The sequence below is a fragment of the Homo sapiens genome, chromosome 6, assembly GCF_000001405.40.
Source record: "Homo sapiens chromosome 6, GRCh38.p14 Primary Assembly".
NCBI lineage: Eukaryota > Metazoa > Chordata > Mammalia > Primates > Hominidae > Homo > Homo sapiens.
The window spans coordinates 104749757-104766179 of NC_000006.12; the positions used below are offsets into that span (position 1 = coordinate 104749757).

General features: G+C 39.4%; 1 protein-coding gene across 18 annotated transcripts in view; it reads right to left on the minus strand.

Moving 5' to 3' along the window:
- The window catches only part of HACE1 (HECT domain and ankyrin repeat containing E3 ubiquitin protein ligase 1), a 131826-nt gene that overhangs the window by 21663 nt on the left and 93740 nt on the right, over nucleotides 1–16423 (minus strand). For all 18 annotated transcript variants that reach the window (NR_146787.2, NR_146789.2, NR_146790.2 and 15 more), the window contains one exon: nucleotides 585–716. Coding sequence is in view for 11 of the 18 variants with exons in the window: in NM_001350555.2 (NP_001337484.1) it covers nucleotides 585–716 (132 nt within the window). In the remaining 7 variants the exon portion in view is untranslated. The remainder of the gene's footprint in view (nucleotides 1–584; nucleotides 717–16423) is intronic.

Consider the following 16423-nt stretch of genomic DNA (forward strand, 5'->3'; position numbering starts at 1 on the left):
TCATATAAAATTAGAAATCCTGTTGGATCACAGTACAATAAAGGCAAATTAAAGTAGCAAAACCAAACATTCATTAGGGACTAGAGGATGGCAAAGACGATGGACTCCATAGGTTTGAAATAAAGAATTATAAAATTATATATATGGCAATATAAGAAACTGGAGAAGACAATACTATACAATAAGAAAAACCTTCTTAATTCTTTTTAGAAGTTTAAGAAGTTAGTATCAGCGCCCTTTACATCATGTGGTCAAATAAAAAATTCAGAAATAATGTAGAATACTGTGTATATAGGAAGACTGGCCTTCAACATCTCCCATATAGAAGAAACAGGAATATATTCCATTTTAGTTTGTCACCACCTCACCTCACTTCACATTAAGGAGCTGCTTATCTGGTTATTAAGCTTAAGAGATGCTCATCCATAAATTTTATATCAAATCTCTAAAAATGGACATTAAACCATTTTGTCTCATTTATACATTATTTCATTCATCATAATACTCCACAATTATTTCTGAATTACATCAACTAGAGTTTTTTGTTGTTGTGTTACAACATAAGAACTGATGTTTTTCCTTACCAATTCATATTCATCAAAAAGCTGTATGAGGGAGGGTGGAATGAACATATGAAAGCCCTGTAAAAAAGCATTGATCTGAGGCTGAATGGCTCTTGTCATTCGAAGTTCAGTAACAAGCTGGACGTACTCCGCCTGTTGAAAAAGAAGTTTTCATGATGACTTTTCAAAAACCTTTTACATACTTAATGTTAATATAATTATTTCTTATTTAAGAGGTAAAGGTTTAAAATAAAATTGACACCAACACTCATACATCTCAGCAAATCAGCAAGCCACTATTCACTAAGCTGTTGAGGAAAAAATTCCAGGGACTCAATCATCCATGACTTCTCTCACACCCTATTTCAGCTGATACTATCAGATCTACCTTTAAAAAAATATTCTCAATCTTACCTTGTCTCACTACCTCCATTTCAGCACCCCAGTCCAAGCTATCATCACTTCTCATCTGGATTACTGCAACATCTGGTGTCCCTGTTTCCATTTTTGCCCCTGTACTGATGCTTCTCCACATCTTAGCCAGAGTGATTTAAAAATATATATATGTGTATATACACATAGATATACATGTGTGTGTATGTACATGTAAATAACTCAGATCCGGCAGCTCTCTTGCTCAAAACCCTATAATGACTTCTCATGACATCTGGAGTAACATCCAAATTCCTTTCCTGGTCTCTAAGGCCCTAAATGATCTGGCCTCTGCCTTGCTCTCTGATCTCACTTCTTTCCATTCTCCCCCTAGTTCATTCATTCACTCAATTCTAGTTTCACTGGCTTTCTGGCTATTCCCAAAACACAAGCTTGTCCGGGCCCCAATGTGTTTATACTTCTAGATCATTCTCACTGAAATGTCTCATTAGAATGTAATCTCTCTGCAGACAGGAACTTTGTTTTACCAGGATATATACCAACTTCTAAAAAGTGGCTGCCACTTTGAAAGTATTCAAAAAATATGTGAAGAATGAATGCATACCATCATCAAATTCACTTAACACATACTTAGAACTTGGTAAAATCATTCTTTGTAGCATAGTCAATTCAATTCTGAGTTAAGGTAATCTACATATTCACCCATTTTATTTTAAAATACGTGATAATCATAGAAAATATTGTTACTTAAAATTTAACTGGTAATAAGCAGAGGGCATGGTGGCACATGCCTGTACTCCTAGTTACTAGGGGAGGCTGAGGTGGAAGCATTGCTTGAGCCCAGGAGTTCGAGTCTGCAGTGAACTATGACCGTGCCACCACACTCCAACCCGGGCAACAGGGCAAGATCCTGTCTCTTAAAGAAAAAAATAATAATAATAACTGGTAATTTAAAAATGTATTTTGGCTTAGAACAAAATGAATTATATACAGAGAGAGAAAGAGTATGTGCCTGTATACACATATAAACTATTAGGTTATCATTTATATATTTTTTAATTAGTTATAAGTGAAACTTTGTGAGTTAAAAACAATATGCTATAGCAGGTATATAGCTCCTACCTACTAGGAATTAATACTCTAACAGGGAAGAAACTCTGTTTTAGCCCTCTTCCTTTATTTTTCTTTTTTTGGCACTAATCTGATGCTCTGTTCAAAAACAAACAAACAAAAAAAACCAAACAAAAAAAAAAAACAGGGGAAAAAAAGACCAAAAAAAGGCACTGAGCCAGCAAGTTCTATATGACTGCTAGCTATGAATTCTTCACAGCTCTCAGAGCTACAGAAGTGTCACAGTAGATTCCATACAGCTCTCCCGAAACCCTGTGTGGCTCCTTTTATAATTTAACACAAGGAAAGCTACCATCTCTGCTATTCAATCTAGTCTCACCCCAAATTCCACTTCCCACCAACCAAAGGTGCAAGTTTTTCTCTACTATATAGGAATTAATCAGCTACAAGTCACATACAGGTACTTATTATAGAGAGGGAGACAGAAATGTGTACCCAACAGTCAAACAGAAACATACACTAAATTTCTGGAGTCCAACCCGGGAAATAACATATATAAAATATTTCATAGTGATTACAGCAGTGATACCTGCATTAGCACATGACTATATTTCAGTTTATGTCTACTCTCACTAAAATTGTTCACTGGATGTACTAAAAGTTTTCTGCCCCATTCATATAATTAATTAATTATATATTATATTTTTTAAGATGCCAGGAAAGACCCTATTCTTCCCTAAAGAGACTTTTTCCCAAGAGGTTTTGGCTTTACCATCTTAAAGTGTGACTCAATAATCTCTGTGGAAGACCTTAACAAGTCATGAAGCATGAAAATAAAAGATTTATGACTTGCTCATGTGAACGTTACCTATTTTAATTGCATTCCATATCTATCAGAATAGTATATACTCTATTTTTTACCAATTAATTCCTATTATTTCCTCCTACATTTTATTTTTTAATTAATTTTTACAAATATAATACTCTTTATCACACTTTTCCTTCCATTTATTTTAATATTTATTATTTTCCACATGTATTTCAGTAACCCAGTTCATAGTTATTGATACCAATTTTTGAAAATCAGCTCCTTCACATCCCAGTCTTCATGCCAATTAAGTAATTCAAATGTGGATGGCAGTTGAACTAAATTATTTTTCAATAAAATAATGAAATCCTAGCTATCATAAACACTTAATTTTTCAGTAATATAAGAGTTTTTCAAATACTTGAAAGAGCTGTGTTTAATGGAAAAATCTAAGTCGAACTGCTTCTAAAATGTTTCCCTGCCTCGCTAAACAGTACACCTTCAAACATAATAAAACAAATTAATATTATCTTGACAATACAAATTTTACTATGAACACCCACTACTGTTGCCCAGTAACATTTCAAGTGTTCATGTTGTGTAGAAATACACTGGCTAAGGGTTCTAAGGACAGCGCTTTGGTATCTCACTGGGACCGAGCTCCGGGGACAAGGGGTGACTGCCATGTCTGGGGTTCAGTCAACTCAGCTGCTCCCACCTGCTGGCTTTGGAGAATACAGGCGGTCCAGAAAAGGTAGGGTCCCCTTCAACACAGCACATGTGCTCTACCAAAAAGCAGCCAGACTGCTTCTTTAGGCAAGTCCCTGATCCCATTCCTTGTGACTTGTTAAGATCTCCCAGCAGGGGTCTCCAGCCACCTCTTATAGGTGCATGCAGGCCAACAACAGGTAAGTACCTACCCCCTGGGACAGAGCTTCCAGAGGAAGGACCTGCCTGCCATCTTTGCTGCTTCATGGCCTTCTCTGCTGATACCTCCAGGTATGGGAGAAACCAAGGCAACTGGGGTCTGGAGAGGACCCCTGGCAAACCACAGCAGCCCTATATACAGTAAAGTGGCCAGATTACTAAAAGAAAAACAAATCAACAGAAAACAACAACAATATCAACAAAAAGACCCCACAAAAACCTCAGTCAAAGGTCAGCAACCTCAAAGAACAAAGGTAGATTAAGGCCAAAAAGATGAGAAAGAATCAACACAAAAATGCTGAAAACTCAAAAAGCCAGAGTGCCTCTTCTCCTCCAAATGACCGCAACACCTCTCCAGCAAAAGCACAGAACTGGTCTGAGGCTGAGATGGCTGAATTGACAGAAATAGTCTTCAGAAGGTGGGTAATAATAAACTTCACTGAGATAAAGGAGCATGTTTTAACCCAATGCAAAGAAGCTAAGAATCACAATAAAACAATACAGGAGCTGACAGCCACAACAGTCAGTTTAGAGAGGAACATAACAGATCTAATGGAGCTGAAAAACACAACATGAGAACTTCACAATGCAATCACAAGTATCAATAGCAGAATAGACCAAGCAGAGGAAAGAACCTCAGAGCTTGAAGACTGTCCAAAATAAGACAGGCAGACAATAATAGAGAAAAAGGAACAAAAAGGAATGAATAAAACCTCCAAGAGATATGGGGTTATGTAAAGAGACCAAACCTATGACTGACTGAGGTACCTGAAAGAGACGAGGAGAATGGAACCAAGTTGGAAAACATACTTCAGGATATCATATAGGAGAACTCCCCCAGATTATCAGGACAGGCCAACATTCAAATTCAGGAAATGCAGAGAACCCCAGTAATACACTCCACAAAAAGATCAACCCCAAGACATATAATCAGATGTGTCTTCACATCAGATTCCCCAAAGCCATCAGATTCCCCAAGGTCCAAATGAAAGAAAAGCTGTTAAGGGCAGCCAGAGATAAAGGCCAGGTCACCTACAAAGGGAAACCCTTCAGACTAATAGCAAACCTCTCAGTAAAAACCCTGCAAGCCAGAAGAGACTGGTGGCCAATATTCAACATTCTTAAAGAAAAGAATTTCCAACTGAGAATTTCATATCTGGACAAACTAAGCTTTATAAGCAAAGGAGAAATAAGATCCTTTTCAGAAAAGCAAATGCTGAGGGAATTTGTTACTACCAGTCCTGCCTTACCAGAGCTCCTGAAGAAAGAACTAAATATGGAAAGAAAAAATTGTTACCAGCCACTACAAAAATACACTGAAGTACACTGACCAGTGACACTATGAAGCAACCACATAAACCAAGCCTGCAAAATAACCAGCTAGCATCGTCATGACAGGATCAAATTCATACATAACAATACTAACATTAAATGTAAATGGGTTAAATGCCCCAATTAAAAGACCAAGAATGGCAAGCTGGATGAAGAGCCAAGACCCATCAGTATGCTGTCCTCAAGAGACCCATCTCACATGCAAAGACACACACAGGCTCTAAATAAAGGGATGGAGGAAATTTTACCAAGCAAATGGAAAACAGAAAAAAGCAGGAGTTGCAACCCTAGATTCTGACAAAAGAGACTTTAAACCAACAAAGATTAAAAAAAGACAAGGGCATTACATAATGGTAAAAGGTTCAATTCAACAAGAAGTGCTATCATAAATATATATACAACCAACATAGGAGCACCAAATTCAAAAAACAAGTGCTTAGAGAACTGCAAAGAGACTGAGACTCCCACACAATAATAGTGAGAGGCTTTAACAGCCCACTAACAATATTAGACAGATCATCAAGACAGAAATTTAACAAAGATATTCTGGACCTGAACTCAGCTCTGTATCAAGTGGACCTGATAGATATCTACAGAACTTCCCACCGAAATTCAACAGAATATACATTCTTCTCATCACCACATGACACTTATTCTGAAATTGATCACATAATCAGAAGTAAAACTTTCCTTGGCAAATGCAAAAGAAATGAAATCATAACAAACAGTCTCTCAGACCACAGCACAATCAAATTAGAACTCAAGATTAAGAAATTCACTCAAAACCACACAACTACATAGAAATTGAACAACCTGCTCCTGAATGACTCTTGGGTAAACAACAAAATTATGGGAGAAATCAAGAATTTATCTGAAACTAATGAGAACAAAGAGACAATGTACCAGAATCTCTGGGATGCAGCTAAAGCAGTGTTAAGAGGGAAATTTATAGCACTAAATGCCCACATCAAAAAGCTAGAAAGATCTCAAGTTAACAATCTGACATCTCAACTAAAATAACTAGAGAGCCAAGAGCGAACAAACTCCAATGCTGGCAGAAGACAAGAAATAACCAAGATCAGAGGTGAATTGAAGAAGACAGAGACACAAAACAACCCTTCAAAAAATTCAATGAATCCAGGAGCTGATTTTTTGAAAATATTAATAAAATAGATAGACCTCTAGCTAGACTAATGAAGAAAAGTGAGAAGAATGAAGTAAACACAATCAGAAATGATAAGGTAGATATCACCACTGACCCCAAAGAAATATAAACAACCTGCCAGGCACGGTGGCTCATGCCTGTAATCCCAGCACTTTGAGAGGCTGAGGTGGGTGGATCACAAGGTCAGGAGTTCTAGACCAGCTGGGCCAGCATGGTGAAACGTCATCTTTACTAAAAACACAAAAAATTAGCCAGGCATGGTGGTGCATGCCTGTAGTCTCAGCTACTCAGGAGGCTGAGGCAGGAGAATTTCTTGAACCCAGTAGGCAGAGGTTGCAGTGAGCTGAGATCACACCACTGCACCCCAGCCTGAGTGACAGAGCCAGATTCCATCTCAAAAAAAAAAAAAAAATATATATATATATATATATACACACACACACACACTTATTATTAAAGTCACAAACTAGTTATAAGAATTGATAGTCTGATAAAAATCCTATTACTTCAGCTTCCTTGAGACAAATTCAGTCATTGAAAATAGTGATCGAAGAGTCGTTTCCAAGATGGCCGAATAGGAACAGCTCTGGTCTACAGCTCCCAGCGAGACTGACACAGAAGATGGGTGATGTCTGCATTTCCAACTGAGGTGACTGGTTCAACTCATTGGGACTGGTTGGACAGTGGGTGCAGCCCACGGAGGGCGAGCCAAAGCAGGGCAGGGTGTCGTTTCACCCGGGAAGCGCAAGGGGTCAGGGGTTTTCCCCTTCCTAGCCAAGGGAAGCCGTGACTGACTGTCCCTGGAGGAATGGTACACTCCTGCCCAAATAATGCACTTTTCCCACAGTCTTCGCAACTGGCAGACCAGGAGATTCCCTTCTGTGCCTGGCTCAGAGGGTCGCATGCCCATGGAGCCTTGCTTGCTGCCAGCACAGGAGTCTGAGATTGACCTGGGTCGCTGGACCTTGGCGGGGAGAGGGGCGTCCACCATTGCTGAGGCTTGAGTAGGAGGTTCTCTGCTCACAGTATAAACAAAGAGGCAGGGAAGCTTGAACTGGGCGGTGGCCACTGGAGCTCAGCAAGGCCTACTGCCTCTCTAGATTCCACCTCTAGGGGCAGGACGTACCTGAACAAAAGGCAGCAGACAGCTTCTCCAGACTTAAACATCCCTGCCTGACAGCTCTGAAGAGAGCAGTGGTTCTCCCAGCACAGTGTTTGAGCTATGAGAACAGACAGACTACCTCCTCAAGTGGGTCCCTGACTCCCGTGTAGCCTGACTGGACACCTCATACAGGCGGGTGCCCCTCTGGGACGAAGCTTCCAGAAGAAGGTACAGGCAGCAATATTTGCTGTTCTGCAGCCTCCGCTGGTGATACCCAGGCAAATGGGGTCTGGAGTGGACCTCCAGCAAACTCCAACAGACCTGCAGCTAAGGGGCCTGTTTGTTAGAAGGAAAACTAACACACAGAAAGGAAGAGCATCAACATCAACAAAAAGGACATCCACACCAAAACCCCATCTATAGGTCACAAACATCAAAGCCAAAGGTAGATAAAACCACAAAGATGGGGAGAAACCAGAGCAGAAAGGCTGAAAATACCAAAAACCAGAACACCTCTTCACCTCCAAAGGAACACAACTCCTGGCCAGCAATGGAACAAAACTGGATGGAGAATGAGTTTGATGAACTGACAGAAGTAGGCTTCAGAAGGTTGGTAATAACAAACTTCTCCAAATTAAAGGAGCATGTTCTAACCCATCACCAGGAAGCTAAAAACCTTGAAAAAAGGTTAAACGAATGGCTAACTAGAATAACCAGTGTAGAGAAGAGCTTAAATGACCTGATGGAGCTGAAAACCACAGTATGAAAACTTCATGAAGCATACATAAGCTCCAATAGCCGATTCGATCAAGTGGAAGAAAGGATGTCAATGACTGAAGATCAAATCAATGAAATAAAGTGAAAAGACAAGATTAGAGAAAAAAAGAATGAAAAGAAACTAACAAAGCCTCCAAGAAATATGGGACTATGTGAAAAGACCAAATATACATTTGATTGGTGTGCCTGAGAGTGACGGGGAGAATGGAACCAAGTTAGAAAACACTCTTCAGGATATTATCCAGGAGAACTTCCCCAACCTAGCAAGGGAGGCCAACATTCAAATTCAGGAAATACAGAGAACACCACAAAGATACTCCTCGAGAAGAGCAACCCCAAGACATATAAAATGTCAGATTCACCAAGGTTGAAATGAAGGAAAAAATGTTAAGGGCAGCCAGAGAGAAAGGTCGGGTTACCCACAAAGGGAAGCCCATCAGACTATCAGCAGATCTCTCTGCAGAAACCCTACAAACCAGAAGAGAATGGGGGCCAATATTCAGTATTCTTAAAGAAAAGAATTTTCAACCCAGAATTTCATATCCAGCCAAACTAAGCTTCATAAGTGAAAGAGAAATAAAATCCTTTCCAGACAAGCAAATGCTGAGAGACTTTGTCACCACCAGGCCTGACTTGCAAGAGCTCCTGAAGGAAGCACTAAACATGGAAAGTAACAACCGGTACCAGCCACTGCAAAAACAAGCCAAACTGTAAAGACCATCGACGCTATGAAGAAACTGCATCAATAAATGGGCAAAATAACCAGCTAGCATCATAATGACAGCATCAAATTCACACATAACAATACAAACCTTAAATGTAAATGGGCTAAATGACCCAATTAAAAGACACAGACTGGCAAATTGGATAGAGTCAAGACCCATCAGTGTGCTGTATTCAGGAGACCCATCTCACGTGCAAAGACACACATAGGCTCAACATAAAGGGATAGAGGAAGATCTACCAAGCAAATGGAAAGCAAAAAAAAAAAAGCAGGGGTTGCAATCCTGGTCTCTGATAAAACAGACGTTAGACCAAAGAAGATCAAAACAGACAAGGAAGGACATTACATAATGGTAAAAGGATCAATGCAACAAGAAGAGCTAAATGACCTAAATATGTATGCACCCAATACAGGAGAACCCAGAATCATAAAGCAAGTCCTTAGAGATCTACAAAGAGACTTAGACTCCCACACAATAATGGGAGACTTTAACACCTAACTGTCAATATTAGACAGATCAGTGAGACAGAAGGTTAACAAGGTTATCCAGGACTTGAACTCAGCTCTGGACAAAGCAGACCTAATAGACATCTACAGAACTCTCCACCCCAAATCAACAGAATATAGATTCTTCTCAGCACCACATCGCACTTATTCTAAAACTGACCATATAATTGGAAGTAAAACACTCCTCAGGAAATGTAAAAGAAAAGAAATCACAACAAACTGTCTCTCAGAGCACAGTGCAATCAAATTAGAACTCAGGATTAAGAAACTCACTCAAAACTGCTCAACTAAATGGAAACTGAACAACGCGCTCCTGAATGACTACAGGGTAAATAACGAAAGTAAGTCAGAAATAAAAATGTTATCTGAAACCAATGAGAACAAAGACACAACGTACCAGAATCTCTGGGACACATTTAAAGCAATGTGTAGAAGGAAATTTTTAGCACTAAACGCCCACAAGAGAAAGCAGGAGAGATCTAAAATCAACACCCTAACATCACAATTGAAAGAACTAGAGAAGCAAGAGCAAACAAATTCAAAAGCTAGCAGAATACAAGAAATAACTAAGATCAGAGCAGAATTGAAGGAGACAGGAACATGAAAAACCCTTCAAACAAATCAATAAATCCAGGAACTAGTTTTTTGAAAAGATCAACAAAATAGATACACAGCTAGCAAGACTAATAAAGATGAAAAGAGAGAAGAATAAAATACATGCAATAAAATTATAAAGGGGATATCACCACTAATCCTACAGAAATACAAACTACCATCAGAGAATACTATAAACATCTCTATGCAAATAAACTAGAAAATCCAGAAGAAATGGATAAATTCCTAGACACATACACCATCCCAAGACTAAACCAGGAAGCAGTTGAATCTCTGAATATATCAATAAGAGGTTCTGAAATTGAGGCAATAATTAATAGCCTACCAACTAAAAAAAGTCCAGGACCAGTGGATTCACAGCCAAATTCTACCAGAGGTACAAAGAGGAGCTGGTACCATTCCTTCTGAAACTATTCCAATCAATAGAAAAAGAGGGAATCCTCTCTAACTTATTTTATGAGGCCAACATCATCCTGATACCAAAGCCTGGCAGAGACACAACAAAAAAAGAGAATTTTAGACCAATATCCCTGATGAAAATCAATGCAAAAATACTCAATAAAATACCGGCAAACCAAATCCAGCAGCACATAAAAAGCTTATCCACCACGATCAAGTCGGCTTCATCCCTGGGATGCAAGGCTGGTTCAACATACACAATCAATAAATGTAATCCATCAAATAAACAGAACCAACAGCAAAAACCACAATTATCTCAATAGATGCAAAAAAGGCCTTTGACAAAATTCAACAGCCTTTCATGCTAAAAACTCTCAGTAAACTAGGAATTGATGGAATGCATCTCAAAGTAATAAGAGCTATTTATGACAAACCCACAGCCAATATCATACTGAATAGGGAAAAAAACGGGAAGCATTCTCTTTGAAAACTGGCACAAGATAAGGATGTCCTCTCTCACCACTCCTATTCAACATAGTATTGGAAATTCTGGCCAGGGCAATCAGGCAAGAGAAAGCAATAAAGTGTATTCAAATAGGAAGAGAGGAAGTCAAATTGTCCCTGTTTGCAGATGGCATGATTGTGTATTTAGAACACCCCATTGTCTCAGCGCAAAATCTCCTTAAGCTGATAAGCAACTTCAGCAAAGTCTCAGGATACAAAATCAATGTGCAAAAATCACAAGCATTCCTATACACCAATAAGAGACAAACAGAGAGACAAATCATGAGTGAACTTAAATTCACAATTACTATTAAGAGAATAAAATACCTAGGAATACAACTTACAAGGGATGTGAAGAACCCCTTCAAGGAGAACTACAAACCGCTGCTTTAAGGAAATAAGACAGGACACGAACAAATGGAAAAACATTCCATGCTTATGGATAGGAAGAAGCAATATCATAAAAATGGCCTTACTGCCCAAAGTCATTTATAGATTCAATGCTATCTCCATCAAGCTACCATTCACTTTTTTCACAGAAATGGAAAAAACTAATTTAATCTTCATATGGAACCAAAAAAGAGCCCGCATAGCCATGACAATCCTGGGCAAGAAGAACAAAGCTGGAGGCATCATGCTACCAGACTTCAAACTATACTACAAGGCTACAGTAACCAAAACAGAATGGTACTGGTACCAAAACGATATATAGAACAATGGAACAGAACAGAGCCCTCAGAAGTAACACCACACATCTACCACCATCTGCTCTTTGACAAATCCGACACACATAAGCAATAGGGAAAAGATTCCTTTTTAAATAAATGGTTTTGGGAAAACTGGCTAGCCATATGCAGAAAACTGAAACTGGACCCCTTCCTTATACTTTATACAAAAATCAACTCAAGACGGATGAAAGACTTAAACGTAAGACCTAGGACCATAAAAATCCTGCAAGAAAACCTGGGCAATACCATTCAGGACATAGGCATGGGCAAAGACTTCATGTCTAAAACACCAAAAGCAATGGCAACAAAAGACAAAATTGACAAATGGGATCTAATTAAACTAAAGAGCTTCTGTACAGCAAAAGAAACTATCATCAGAGTGAACAGGCAGCCTACAGAATGGGAGAAAATTTCTGCAATCTATCCATCTGACAAAGGGTTAATATCCAGAATCTACAAAGAACTTAAACAAATTTACAAGAAAAAAACAAACAACCCCATCAAAAAATGGGCAAAGGATATGAACAGACACTTCTCAAAAGAAGACATTTATGCACCCAACAGACACATGAAAAAATGCTCATCATCACTGGTCATTAGAGAAATGCAAATCAAAACCACAATAAGATACTGTCTCACACCATTTAGAATGGCGATCATTAAAAAGTCAGGAAACAACAGATGCTGGAGAGGTTGTGGAGAAAGAGGAACACTTTTACACTGTTGGTGGGAGTGTAAATTAGTTCAACCATTGTGGAAGACAGTGTGGCGATTCCTCAAGGATCTAGAACTAGAAATACCATTTGACCCAGTGATCCCATTACTGGGTATATACCCAAAGGATTATAAATCACGCTACTATAAAGACACACGCACACGTATGTTTACTGCAGCACTGTTCACAATAGCAAAGACTTGGAACCAACCCAAATGTCCATCAATGATAGACTGGATTAAGGAAATGTGGCACATATACACCATGAAATACTATGCAGCCATAAAAAATGGTGAGTTCATGTCCTTTGCAGGGACATGGATGAAGTGGGAAACCATCATTCTCAGCAAACTATCACAAGGACAGAAAACCAAACACTGCATGTTCTCACTCACAAGTGAGAGTTGAACAATGAGAAACACATGGACACAAGGAGGGGAACATCACGCACCAGGGCCTGCTGAGGGTGGGGGGCTAGAGGAGGGATAACATTAGGAGAAATACCTAATGTAGCTGACGGTTTCATGGGTGCCACAAACCACCATGGCACGTGTATACCTATGTAACAAACCCACACATTCTGCACATGTAACCCAGAACTTAAAGTATAATTTTAAAAAAAGGCCGGGCGCGGTAGCTCACACCTGTAATCCTAGCACTTTGGGAGGCCGAGGCAGGCAGATCACGAGGTCAGGAGATCGAGACCATCCTGGCTAACACAGTGAAACCCCGTCTCTACTAAAAGTACAAAAAATTAGCCTGGCATGATGGTGGACACCTGTAGTCCCAGCTACTCGGGAGGCTGAGGCAGGAAAATGGTGTGAACCTGGGAGGTGGAGCTTGCAGTGAGCTGAGATCGCGCCACTGAACTCGAGCCTGGGCAACAGAGTAAGACTCCATCTCAAAAAAAAAAAAAAAAAAAAAAGAATCAGTCAAATAAGAAATAAACAAATTTCCCAGCAAATAAAAAGAAAATACTGGTCATTCAGGTTACCATTTTATAGGTTTGGTAATTTTTAAAGTTAATTTCTAGAATATACTATCTAAAATGCAAGGAGAAGTGTGTTTTCATGTTTTCATTGTTGACAGGAAGATACCAAAAAGATCATTCAAACCCACCTAATAACACACACGTATACTCAACATGAAAAAACTGTAGACTTACACTACCTGTTTTAAAAGTTTTCAGAGTAGTAAAAAAACAAATCTCATAGTACAGATTGAGTATCCCTTATCCAAAATGCTTGGGACCAGAAGCGTTTCAAATTTCAAAGTGTTTTAGATTTTGGAATATCTGTATATACAAAATGAGTTATCTTGGCAATGACACCCAAGTCTCAACATGAATTTGTTTCATTGAACCATCAGAAAGTAAAGGGATCACTATCTCAGCCACCCGTGTAGACACAATCTGTGGTTGTTTGACATCACCATTATTCCTGACCAAATTTACATGTTACCAATAAGCAACCATTTTCTTACACTTACACCTAACTACTTAATGGTTAAAAAAAAAAAAGGGGCATACCATTAATACAGTGAAAAAAATCACATGTTCAGGGTAGCTACAGCAGCACAGAGGCATCACCAGAATATCTGTGCCAGCTGTTAAACAGAAGCAACAAACAGCAGGCTTTCTGTTTCCATCTGGAATGCTTTGTTTTGATTAAAAGGTACTGTAGGCCAGGCTCAGTGGCTCACGCCTATAATCCCAGCACTTTGGGAGGCCGAGGTGGGCAGATCACTTGGGGTCAGGATATCGAGACCAGCCTGGCCAACATGGTGAAACCTCATTCCTACTAAAAATACAAAAATTAGCCAGGTGTGGTGGTAGGCGCCTGTAATCCTAACTACTTGAGAGGCTAAGGCAGAACTGCTTGAACCTGAGAGGCAAAGGTTGTAGTGGGCCGAGATCCCACCACTGCACTCCAGCCTGGGTGACAGAGCAAGATTTTATCTCAAACAAACAAACAAAAAAAAAGTACTGCACACTTTTTATTTTTTGTGAGACAGAGTCTCACTCTGTTGCTCAGGCTGGAGTGCAGTGGCACTGTGATCTTGGTTCACTGCAACCTCCACTTCCCAGGTTCAAGCAATTCTCCTGCCTCAGCCTCCCAAGTAGCTGGGATTACAGGCACGCACTACCATGCCCAGCTAATTTTTGTATTTTTAGTAGAGACGGGGTTTCACCATATTGGCCAGACTGGTCTGAAACTCCTGACCTCAGGTGATCCACTCACCTCGGCCTCCCAAAGTGCTGGGATTACAGGTGTGAGCCACTATGCCCGGCCTGTACATTATTTTATGTTTTAAGGTGAGAAGAAGCAGTTGAGAGGACAGCAAGTGGGTCTTCTAGGAATGAGGAGTCATTCTGCTGGATGGATTTTTAAATGTTTCCTCCAGGGTTATCTGCCTCATTAACAATGGTGTTTGCCTTAGAAATCTCTCTTTGATTTTATAAACTAACATGATTTCTTGTTCTGTTGTGAATGCCATATTTTCACCATGTCATCTATAGGCACTTCTTCTTCAGTTTTAATGTTATCTTCATCATCACTATTATCACCATCACCTACACTCAGAACCATTTTGGCTACTTCATCATCAATGAATGAGCAATTGGAGCCTTATAACCAGTGTTACAGACCTTTTCAATATCCACTTCTTTCAGTTCACTAACAAACTCTGAAGGTATATTTTTTTGCATATGTAAGGCAGTCAAACATCATTTCTTTCACTTGACATACAGAATCCTTCAAAGTCACACATTTGCTCGTCACCATCACTGAACATAGTTGCAGGCCAGAGGTTGTGCCAGGCATGCACAATTGTGTCTTTACTCACTGTGTTCCAAGCACTGGCAACAGCATACACAACATCCTTCATATTAAACTCCCTTTGAAAACCTTCCACAATTACAATTCTGTTCACTGATGCTAGCAGTCTATGCAACAAAGTGTTATATTTATTCTTCACTGATCTAATGTGACTGATTAATTCAGTCACATGGCTGAATTAATGAAGTCACATTTGAGGGAAAATACATGGCAAACACATTATTTTTGATGAGAATTTCAGCTGGATGATGAGCAGAGCAGTTGTTAGGGAATAACAAAGTCTTGCAGTCACCATGCAGTAAACACAAGCCACTGGTATAAAATATTTTCCCTGGTGATCCATGCCTTTTTGCTAGCATAATAATGGACTGGTAAGAAATTCACTCCTTGAAGAGATTGAGAACACAGGCTTTTGCCTATCATGGCAAATTTACACTTACACTTGCCTGTTGCACTAGGACATCCCTGCACATTTATTCTGTCCTTGGTAGCCTACCACAGGGGCTGTCTCATCAGCTGTAGTCAGTGTCTTTCTGAGGCAACAACAACAAAATAGTGATATTTTAACAGCAATATAGACTTGTTCTAGCATCAGATTTTCATCAGCAATGACCTTGGCAAATTCCTCACTGAATTTCACCACTGTTTTGTGATCAGCAGATGCTCTATTGCCACAAATCTTTAAAAAATGAATATCATGTCTCTTCTTAAATTTCTGCAACCAGCCTGTTGAAAAGTCAGAGTTCCCTTCAATTTTCACTTCATTATGATAGATCTTTGCTTGTTTATGATCGGCATACCATTAAGTGGCAAGTGTTCACTGTTAGGCTGACAAATCCACTCTTTAAATACACAATTGAGATCTTCAGTTTTAGCTTTATGCAGTGTTATTCTATTTTTCATTAACTTCTTTTCATCAGTTTTGGCACAGAACGTCAACAGTTTATTCTTTTGTTTCTTCAAGTTATATAGTGTGGTCATTCCAACACCATACTCTTCTGTAGGACATTTCACATTTATATTGCTGTCCAGTTTCTCCAACAGCTTGACTTTCTGTGCTACGGATAAAGACAAATGCTCCCTCTTTTCCCTGTCACTGTTACCCACAGGGGTATCTGCAGGCCTTTTTGACATTCCCAACAATACCTCTGCACCACAGAGCAGAAAATAAGCAAAAGAAAAGAAAAGACATGAGTAATGCACAAATGCACATCGGCCTTGGCCCCACGTGGGGCACAGTGGGGAACCTGCTCTTG